Source organism: Homo sapiens, chromosome 15, assembly GCF_000001405.40.
Source record: "Homo sapiens chromosome 15, GRCh38.p14 Primary Assembly".
NCBI classification, from domain to species: Eukaryota; Metazoa; Chordata; class Mammalia; order Primates; family Hominidae; genus Homo; species Homo sapiens.
The window spans coordinates 85,229,416-85,240,202 of record NC_000015.10 but is presented as its reverse complement, the minus strand read 5'-3'; the positions used below and the strand labels follow the sequence as shown (position 1 = coordinate 85,240,202).

At 45.6% G+C, this 10,787-nt stretch overlaps 2 pseudogenes across 4 annotated transcripts in view, besides 1 other annotated feature; both read left to right on the top strand.

Moving 5' to 3' along the window:
* The first annotated feature begins 5,394 nt into the window (after positions 1–5,394).
* LOC727751 (golgin A2 pseudogene) overlaps positions 5,395–10,787 on the top strand; it is a 31,360-nt pseudogene continuing 25,967 nt past the window's right edge. The window contains 1 exon segment of one of the 2 annotated variants that reach the window (NR_102748.1): positions 5,395–5,674. The product of NR_102748.1 is annotated as a golgin A2 pseudogene, transcript variant 2 (transcript). 2 annotated transcript variants of the gene reach the window in all.
* LOC101929479 (golgin A2 pseudogene) overlaps positions 5,408–10,787 on the top strand; it is a 29,789-nt pseudogene continuing 24,409 nt past the window's right edge. Inside the window, exon 1 of one of the 2 annotated variants that reach the window (NR_160936.1) lies at positions 5,408–5,724. The product of NR_160936.1 is annotated as a golgin A2 pseudogene, transcript variant 2 (transcript). The remainder of the gene's footprint in view (positions 5,725–10,787) is intronic. The other variant, NR_158179.1, reaches the window with a different exon arrangement.
* Positions 10,028–10,250: a silencer, noted in NCBI's record as "fragment chr15:85773184-85773406 (GRCh37/hg19 assembly coordinates)". NCBI's record gives its function as "represses an EF-1alpha promoter that drives an FKBP-Casp9 reporter gene in an ReSE screen in K562 erythroleukemia cells {active_cell/tissue: K562}" and the evidence as "EXISTENCE:reporter gene assay evidence [ECO:0000049][PMID:32094911]".

The following is a 10,787-nucleotide window of genomic DNA, read 5'->3' as shown; positions in this document are numbered from 1 at the left end:
CCACTCTGGGAGAGGAGAAGGGCTGGGTTTTGCTTTAAAACTTTTAAAACTGTAAAAAATAAACTTTAAAAAATATATGTGTATATACTTTATATATATGTGTGTCTGTGTGTGTGTATCTATGTGTTCCTCCAGAGCTGTCTTCATTATGCAGCTTCTGTGCAAAGTCTGTGATTTTGGCCTATATTTTTCATCTTCAAATGGAGTACAAGAATTACCAGTATTACCTTAACTGAGATATAGATCCTATAAAAATGGAAAATCCATAGCATGCTTGATGATTAATGAAGCCGACTATAGTATCCAACATTCCAATAAGACAAAATAATCACAACAATTTCTCTTTTTTGGAAAAATGTTTGTCTTATTCTCCATTATTGTTAAGATTTCTTTTAAAAACAAGAAACATGTCTAATATCTTTAAAAACACAAAGCTTTTGGGCCGGGTGCGGTGGCTCACGCCTGTAATGCCATCACTTTGGGAGGCCGAGGTGGGTGGATTGCCTGAGGTCAGGAGTTCGAGACCAGCCTGGCCAACATGAAGAAACCCTGCCTCTACTAAAAATACAAAAACTAGCCAGGCGTGGTTGCGGGTGCCTGTAATCCCAGCTATTTGGGAGGCTGAGGCAGGAGAATCACTGGAACCCAGGAGATGGAGGTTGCAGTGAGCCAAGCTCACGCCACTGCACTCCAGCCTGGGCGACAGAGCAAGACTCCATCTCAAAAGAAATAAAATAAAATACAAAATAAGTAAGAACACAAAGCTTTCAATTTAATAACCACTTAAAGCTCTTTACTGGTTTAAGAGAAATACAAGGCCCATTTTTCTAGAATCACCTGGACTCTCTAAGCCTTGCAAATGAAACTGAATTTCTCACTTGATACTTGGCTATCACTTGCAGTCATGAAAACCAAGAATTTGTTATGTCACTGTGTATTGCTTGTTACCTGAAATCCACACTAGGCTGGGATCAAGGGTTGAATCTTTCATGATTTTCTCCATAACCTGTGTGCTTCTTATCCCACACCAAACTAAGCTTTTTTTCTAGAGCTCTGCAACTTACAGTTAGTATATGAGAGCAGTTCTCAAAAATGTAGTCTCTGGACTAGCAGCTCCAGCAGCACCTGGGAACTTCTTATAAATACACATTCTCAGGCCCCACCCTGGACCTGATGAATCAGAAACTCTGGAGTAGGGCTCAGCAATCTGTGCTGCAGTAATCCCTCCAGGTGTTCAAGAACCTCTGGCATACAGCAGGTAGAAAAATGTGTTTCCTTCTGTAGGTCCAAAACCAGGGATACTATATGTTCTGTCTCTATATGAAACAATGACGTGCAATTAAAAGACATAAATCTCCTTCCTGCTCCCACCTTCCAGCCAATGAGTTTTATTTTTATGAGTTAAATAAGAAAACAATCAGAGATTTCGTCTAAATCGCATATTTACAGGTATCAGTTCTCATCCAGCCTGATCTTATCCAATATCATTTATATTCTCTTACATGTGAAGTTTTAGAGAAGGATCTTCACAATGTAAGACTCAGGCACACTAGGAGTTCTATAATAAAACACCAAGTAGATCAGAATGTCCAAACTTACTGGAGAAGAAAAGTGGAATCATTGGCTATATTTTCAAATGGCAATAAACAGGAAATTAAAGTTTTGAATTTTTTTTCACCTTCATCCTTCCAAGTTAATAGAATTAAGCCAAAATACTTGTCTTCCAAAGCCTCTAGCCAGGCAAAATTTTACTATATTACTTCTTGCTTTTCAATGGCTATAAAGCAGACTCCTGGTAGGCACATTTGGTATACCTGCAAAGATGAAGAACTAAACAGTTCCATCTGTTCAATACTGAAACAAAAGTCCTGCCAACCTCGGATGGTGAGTGTAATACTTCAGCACTAGCACCAAAGCCTCAAATATGAAAAGATACCAAGAACACCACTAGCAAACAAAACTAAACTCTCGGCTGGGAGCTCTAGTTCATGCCGTAATCCCAGCACTTTGGCAAGCAAAGGTGGGAGGATTACTTGAAGCCAGGAATTCAAGACCAGCCTTGGCAGCATAGTGAATTCACACCTCTACAGAAAGTTTTTAAAATTAGCTGGGTGTGGCAGCACACTTCCCGGGGCTGCTGTGCCATTGCTGGAAACTTCTCTATGGAGAGTACCAAGTACTTCTACCTGTAGCATTTTCCCTGGCTGGAATCCTGCAATTATCACAGTAGCCTGAGATCCAAGAAGGCAGGGCAGGAGCATCCTGTCCCCTTCCCAGCAGGTGCAAGGGAGGCTGGGGGGTGAGGCACAAGCCAGTGGGAGGGTGAGGAGCAGGAGGGATGCATGGTGAGCCTCTGTTGACTGCTTGCTGCCTCAGCTGGAAGGTCAGGACCCAATGTCTATTACAGGTTAAATTACAGAAGTATTTCAGATTTTGGATTTTTTTCAGATTTTGGAATTCGAAAATCTGAAATCCAAAATGCTCCAATGAGCATTTCCTTTGAATCTGGCCTTCGAACATCATGTCGGCACTCAAACAGTTTTGGATTTTGAAGCATTTCAGATTTTGGATTTTCGGATGAGGGATGCTGTATTATCTTCTGAATGAGGCCACTCATTCAGGAAAGCCCAGAGCTTGGGGACATGGAGCTGCAGACCAAAGAGGTGATTTCTGTAGTGGCTTTCAGTGCAGAAGGGCCTACAAAGCGGTTTAAAGCAAGCCACAAAATAGGAAACCCAATATTTAGCTAATGGAACTCTGATAAAACCTGCTCAAGATGTCTGTCTCTACTAATTCAGATGGAGCCAAGCCAAAGCATCATTATTATTTTAAAAAGGCACCAATCCCTCTGCAAAAGCACTGAATTATATCATGATACAATCATCAATTGTACCATGAATCACCATCAGCGGTGGTCTTTTAGGGATATGAAGAAGGGGTTTTCACAGTACATCGCATGACACACCATCTTCCAAATCTCTAAACATTTCTCTCCACAGCCCAGTCCTCTCCATAGTTGTCCAAATCCCTCCCTCTTTTCTCTTGTTGTCTCCAAAACTCAAAACCATGCTCTGACTTTCTATATCCTGCCCTCCCCTTCTTGGACCACCTGGGAAGCCCCCTGCTTCCCCAGGGTGTCCCCTCCTCCCCTTCTGGGATCAGTCATCTTTCCTCAAATGGACCAGTTTGGCCTCTCTTAGTTTCTCCAACTCTGCATCTCAACCTTTCTCCCTTCACTACACAATAATGTCCAGGAGGCAAAGAGCCCACAAACCTGGGAACCTCCCTTTCCAGAAGGGAGGAGAGAGGTGACTACAAATATTTGGTTATGATTTTCTTCCCTGCCACGCCTGTTTTCATGGGCAGTGCTGAGCCCCGGTCCTGGCAGAGCTCAGAACCAGGCTCTCATGAGCTGGGGCAAGTGGGGCCTAGGGAACCTCTGGGTTGAGGACCTTGCACCCCACTCTGCAGCTGCCCTGCTGATTTGGCTCATGCAACCTCTCCTCCTGGGCTCAAGCGATCCTTCTACATCGGTCTCCCAAGTAGCTGGGATTTGGGCTACCACGTTTGGCTAATTTTTGTATCTTTTAGTACAGCTGGGGTTTCACCTGTAGCCCAGGCTGGTCTCGAACTCCTGGGCTCTAGTGATCTACCCTCCTCAGCCTCCCAAAGTGCTGGGATTACAGGTGTGAGCCACTGCGCCCAGCCTTGTGCCAGCTTTTAAATATCAACAAGGACAGATTAGAGAACAGTGGAAGAGGGTGAGCAGCATGATGAGGTGATACAGAAATAATTTCACACGAAGAACTGGGCATGCTTGGCCTTTTTTTTTTTTTTTTTTTTTAAAGCCATTCTGGGTTGGGTGCTGAGGCTCACACCTGTAAGCCTGTAATCCCAGCACTTTGGGAGGCCGAGGTGGGTGGATCACCTGAAGTCAGGAGTTCGAGACCAGCCTGGCCAACATGGTGAAACCCTGTCTCTACTAAAAATACAAAAAATTAGCTGGAATTGGTGGCATGTGCCTGTAATTCCAGCTACTCGGGCAGCTGAGGCAGGAGAATCGCTTGAACCTGGGAGGCGGAGGTTGCAGTGAGCTGATATCGTGCCATTGCACTCCAGCCTGGGCAACAAGAGTGAAACTCTGCCTCAAAAAAAAAAAAAAAAGGAAAGAAAGAAAAGAAAATATATCTATGCACCAGAGCTCAACACTAGGTTAGGAGCATTTCTGAGATTTGGAGCTATTCGACCATGGAAGTTCCTGGCACATACATCAGGTATTCACAATACCCTTTCTCAGGTGTTTGGTCACTGCTAGTGAGCCTGCCTGGATCAGTGTTTCCCAAATGGCAGTCATTTGCATCTTTGCATTTTTTTTTGGAGGGGGGGGTTGTGGGGGTATATTCCATACCAGATTTTTAAAAAATTGACATTAAAAATACATGAATAAAATGTGTAAAGTGCACTAATCTAAAGTGCACTGGATGTATTTTTTATTGATGTACATACTTTTGTTATCCATCACCCAGGTCAAAATACAGAATCAGCACCACAGAGGGTTCCCTCCTCCTCCTTCCCAGCCAATAATCTTCTCCTCCTACCTAACCAACTGTTCTTACTTCAATCACTGTCAACTAGTATTTTACATTCTTGAACTGCATATAAAGTGTCTCAAGTTTCACTTAACACTTTTCTTGAAATACACTTGTTTTTTGCCACTTTTTATTTGACCTAAGAAGTAACATTAATGAAACAATGATTTGACGTGATAGGCATTTCCCTCCTAATGAGCACTAAAACACTTAACTATTTGAAAAAAGAAGTTTCTCCGTGTACCAACTAATATATTCTCCTCGGCCGCCGTTGGTACACGGACCACATTTTGTTTCTCAAAGCAATCCGATGATTTCTGAGGTCCTTTGCAGCTTGAACACGGAACGACTGTGGTGATAGAGTAGCCAAAAGTTCACGGGAATGCACTGTCACAATTGTGATTCCGCCATAGCGCCGTGCATCCATCCAACACTTGTTTAATACCTATATTTAATACCTAATACCTTAGACTGTCCTAGGCTGTGGACACAGAAGACTAAACCCCACTTCCTGAGTTGAAGTGGGGGAAATAGAGGAGTAAATCATTTCACGATGTGTGGTTAAATGCTACAGCTCAGGTAACCACGAGCACACAGAGAAAGGGCAGTTTCTGGAAACAGGGCGGAGAGGAGACCGTGAGTGGGCATTTCCCAGAGCAGTCTCTGCCAGCCACCCTGCTGTGATCACTTTGCCACAGAGCAGCCCCGGCGGTCAACCTCAGCCTCCCTTAGCAACCTGAGCGCCCCGCCCAGGTGCCTTACTATTGGTCTCGTGGAGCGGGATGGGCAGCTCTGCCGTGCAATCCCAGCTCGCAGCCCTTGCTCCGCGTGTACTCACGGGAGGACTCGCAGACGTTACTGCCCTCTTGCGTGCCCCGGCCACCCCCGGGCGGCTTGTAGCCGGTGCGCGGGGTGGCTGGGGCTACGTGCAGAGCTGTCGCGGAGCCGGAGCAGCAGCGGTGAAGGCCCTCGGCTCGGCCGAGACCGCCGTGCCCACTGCTCGCCTCGGTTGCCGCCGCTTTAGCCGCAGCCGCTGCTGCCGCCGCCGGGGGAGAGGCAGCCTATTGTCTTTCTCCGCGGCGAAGGTGAGGAGCTGTCTCGGCTCGGCCCGCGGGGGAGCCCCGGGAGCCGCACGGTGAGAGCGCAACTTAGTTGGCGGAGTTGGGGGAAGTTTTGTGATTTGAGGAGGGGTCGGGGTGCGGAGCGCGGCCCGTCCCCTGCGGCCGCTCGGTGGGGCGGGCCCCAGAGGAGGGTCGGGGGCTGCGCGGGGCTTCAGGGGCGGGCGGCACGGATGGGTAGCCGGGCGGCGCGGGGACCTCAGCTTTGCGGACCCCTCCTCCCTGCGCATCACCCTTCTCCCGCATTGTCTGCTTGGGGCTCGGCGCGCCTCCCACTCCGCAGCCCAACTTGGGGGCCGTCGCCGCTTTCCGGATGGGGGGCGCGCCCGGCCGCGGATGGCCCCGAACCCTTGCCCCGGGTCCCCGGGTTGGCGCCGCTGGGGCGGACTCACTCCTCCCCTGGGGCGGGCGGCCGCGGTGTGGAGTCCGCGCCGCGAACAAGTGCTGCGGGCGCGAGGGAGCGGTTCCCCGGGGCCGACGCGGACGGTAAACCTGTCCGGCGGCGCCCGTCTGCTGGGGCCTCTCCGCTGTTTCTCGCGGGCGCGGCCCGGCTGAAACTGCGACCGTCGGAGGCGAGCGGCCCTCTGGGACCCGTGCAGCCGGTCCACCTTGCAGCTATACTTTGAGACTAAACAATTTTTTTTTTTTTTGCAAAGGCAAACCGGTATGTGAAGTTGAAAAAATCAAAAACCCTCAAATTTTCCTTCTTTTTTTTTTTTTTTAAATCAAGAAAGGGGGTAGATAGGTTTGTTTTGTTTTGGAAATAGTTTTTATAGCAGAGTGATACCGTCACATTTAATGATCCTACTGTGAATTCAAGAATTCACGATGAAAGTTGGATTGAGCGGTATTTTGGTGTTCATTCTTTGCTGATACTCATTAATGAAGTTAGTTGGAGAATTTATTGCTTCAGTACAGTAAAAACCAGTGTGCCTTTTTTTTTGTTACTACTCCCCCCTCCCCGCATTGTTTTATTTTTCGAAGAAGCACTTTATTCAGTTTTTCTAAGCCACGGGATTGCCCAGATGAGGACCAACGGTGCAGTTCTTGAAAGGTCATTATTGGCAAGTTTGTGAGGGAGCTAAGATGAGTTGAGATAAACCAGTGTTACTGTTCTTGTATTCTGTCGTGGACTCTTGGGGATTTGCAGGCTGCATTAAGTACAAGTCTGGTCCAGTTTTGGGTGCACGTATTCCACTGAATTTGGTTCGTCTGGCTTATTATATGAACATGATTCTGTTTCACTTCCCCAGATGGAACTAGCTTAAATGTCTATCATTTATAGTGACAAATGATCCAAATGGCTAGAGTGTCATTTATTAACTTCAGTTGTAGTCCTTTACCTTACCTTCTGCTAAATGAAAAAGAAAAATTTGACAAATACTGTGTGCGTCAGTTTGCTCTGAGTGATTTCTCGTGCTAAGTGAGTCCTGTGGAGAAGCGTTCCTGGGCTTTTCTGGTTTGGTGGGCCTTGTGTTATAAAACCAATTTTCTTCACCTGATGAAGCTAAAGACAAATTTTCTTCAGGCACAGGCATTGCCCTTTTAAACTACAGAGCCACTTGTAGGATTCACAATACTCACTCAATGGCTTCCCTTCCTGGCAGTGTGGTTTTGTGTGTGTGTGTGATTGTGGGGAAGGAGGCTGACAGAGGTTGGAAGGGATTGTCAGGGAGGGACATCATGTAAGCAAGTACTAACAACATAACGTGACGAGGGCACCAGTTGCTTTCCTTCTGTGGGCGGTGATGGCATGTTATACTGTAGGTACTATTGTTGTAGGATTTCTCACAGTTCGTTTGCCTTGACTAAATGGTAACTGCACACATACTATACTATAAATGGACTCCTCCTCTAGTCCTTTAACTCCTTGAGGGCTGTGATAGACCTTATTTAACTTTGTACCCTCTTTGCCAGTGGTCTTAACATAGTGCAGGCACGGTATGTGTTTGAATTGGGTAAATTACTTTTACTGCCTAGTGGTAGCTGGTGTACACAGGAGAGGGCCACCAACTCTGGGGACTTGTCCAAAATGACAATTCACTTGCAGATCTCTGATGAAATTTACTTTAAAAGGACTTCTAACCTTTTTTTTAATCTGTCGGTTATTTTTTGAAAAGAAGTGGGGCTTAACTAGTGCTCTAAGGATTTTAACAAGAGATTCCGATTTAGAAATCTGTCCCCCCTTTTGGTGAAATTCTTATTTTTTTTAGAGTCAGAATCTTCACTGTTGCCCAGTTGTCTTCCTGGGACCCAAGCCGTCCTCCCACCTCAGCCTCCCACAGTACTGGAATTACAGGCGTGAGCCACCCCACCCAGCTGGTGAAATTATTAAAATTGTAGTGAAAACTCTGCCTCCATTGTGAAATTGGAAAAAAATTAGAAATTTTAGAAAAAAGTACGCCCTTTGGAGCTAGGTAGAGTTCAGATCCCCACATTTCCATTGAGTAGTTGCATAGCCTCTCAGAGCTTCAGCTTCCTACTCCTTAAGGGTTAGTAACATGCTTTGCAGTGTTGTTAGGAATCAGTGAAACTGTGTGAGATACTTAACTGCAGTATCTAACATGGAGTAGGTAGCTATTTCCTGGTAGCTGTAATGATAATAATTTTGATACGTTTTTACATGACTTAAGCATTCTGAAAAGTCTGATGCTTCTGAGTATGGAGGCTTAGCTATTTCTTTCATAAAGAAGGGGCCCTGAGACTTGTGAGTCTTATCCAAATGCGTTTCTTCAAAGGTGTCAGATGAACTGAAGGATAATGGAAACAATAGCAAATTTATCTTCTCAGTCACCTGTGAGTCTTCCTTTGAGAGTGGGACTTGCAGAGTACTTGGTAGGGTAGAGCTCTTTGTGACTATGCTATTTAGGAAATGGTGAGAGATGGATTGTTTTCAGTACATCAGTCATAAGAGGATATGAGTGAGTTCCAACTTTCCTTATTTTACCTTAGTCTTGACAAATAACAAGTATGGATTATGTCTGTATTTCTCCGACTTGTTTAAGGTAGAACTGGACTGGGTGTTAACAGTGTTAGTTCAGTAGAGACATGAGCAAATCACTCACTTCCCCTTCAAGATAACACTTTAAAGGTGCCACCATTTGCAGAAGAAAGCAGTGATTTAAAGCAGCTATACTAGCACAGTTTAGAATACTTACACTAGCTGATGGAGTAGATACATTCTAGAAATATTCACCTGTAGTGGGAGTTGAACAGTGAGAACACACGGACACAGGGAGGGGGGAACATCACACACTGGGGCCTGTTGGGGGTTGGGGGGCTAGGGGAGGGATAGCATTAGGAGAAATACCTAGTGTAGATGACGAGTTGATGGGTGCAGCAAACCACCATGGCACGTGTGTACCTATGCAACAAACCTGCACGTTCTGCACATATACCCCAGAACTTAAAGTATAATAATAAGAAAGAAAAATAAATATTTACCTGTTAAGGACATTTCTGTGTATTTTATTCCATCTTTCCAATAGTTTTCTTATGAAGAGATTATAGTAAACCTTTGAACTTAACAGATTGAGGGTAAACCTTTAAAAAATATATTTGGTCACACTTACAGACTGAGGGTAAAAACATTCCTGACAAAGCTAGGCGAAGACACCTGGACTTTTTTTTTTTTTTTGAGACGGAGTCTCGCTCTGTCACCCAGGCTGGAGTGCAGTAGCACGATCTTGGCTCACTGCAACCTCTGCTTCCCCGGTTGAAGCGAATCTTCTGCCTCTCCCGAGTAGCTGGGACTACAGGCACACGCCACCATGCCTGACTAATTTTTTATTTTTAGTAGAGACGGGGTTTCACCATATTGACCAGGCTGGTCTTGAACTCCTGACCTCGTGATCCACCCGCCTCAGCCTCCTAAAGTGCTGGGATTACAGGCATGAGCCACTGCACCCGGCTGAAACTTGGACTTTTGATGTTTCCTTCTTTTAAAGTTAACATCTAGCACTTGAATAGACTTGGTTATTACTGATGGGGACAGGCATCCATTTGGAAGTAGCTTCCCTCTCTCTCTCTTTCCCAGGTTAGGCTGTCTTACTGCTGTAAATGGGGAGAGAAGAGAAAGCCGTGGGTGGAAGAAAGTGTTTCATGGCCTGGTGCGGTGGCTCATGCCTGTAATCCCAGCACTTTGGGAGGCCGAGGCGGGTGGATCACTTGAGTTCAGGAGTTCAAGACCAGCCTGGCCAACATGGTGAAACCCCGTTTCTACTAAAAACAGAAAAATTAGCTGGGCATGGTGGCGGGCACCTGTAATCCCAGCTACTTGGGAGGCTGAGGCAGGAGAATCACTTGAACCCAGGAGATGGAGGTTGCAGTGAGCCGAGATTGCACCACTTCACTCCAGCCTGGTCGACAGAGCGAGACCTTGTCTCAAAAAAAAAAAAAAAAAAAAAAAAAAAAGTGTCCCACTCAGTTGCCCAGGCTGAAACGCAGTGGCAGGATCACTGCTCACTGCAGCCTTGAACCAAGCGATTATCCCACCTCAGCCTCCCAAGTAGCTGGGATCACATGCATGCACCGCCATGCCTGGCTAATTTTTTTATTTTTGTAGAGACAGGGTCTTTCTATGTTGCCCAGCCTGGTCTCAAACTCCCGGGATGAAGCAATCCTCCCACCATGGTCTCCCAAAGTGTAGGGCTTACAGGCGTGAGAGCCTGCTGGGGTTTTTGATTGACATTGCATTGAAACTGGAAATCAGTTAGGAGGCAACTGACATTTTAATAATGAGCCATGAACATGGTATATCTATTTATTTAGACCTTCTTAGATTTTTCGTCAGTGTTTTGTAGTTTTTAGCAGTTGGATCTTGCTTGTATTTTGTAATCTTACACATTTATTTCATGTTTGTGGTACTGTTGTGAATGATACTTCTCAATTTCCAGTTGGTGATTGCTAGTATATAGGAAGGTGATTTTATGTTATATGCTGACCTTGGATTCTACAACCTTGCTAAACTCATTTTTAGTACTAGAAGCTTTTTTGTAGATTTTTGGAATTTTGTGCATAGACAGTAATGTCACTGGCAAATAAGGGCAGTTTAATTTCTTTGTTTTCACTTTGTATGCTT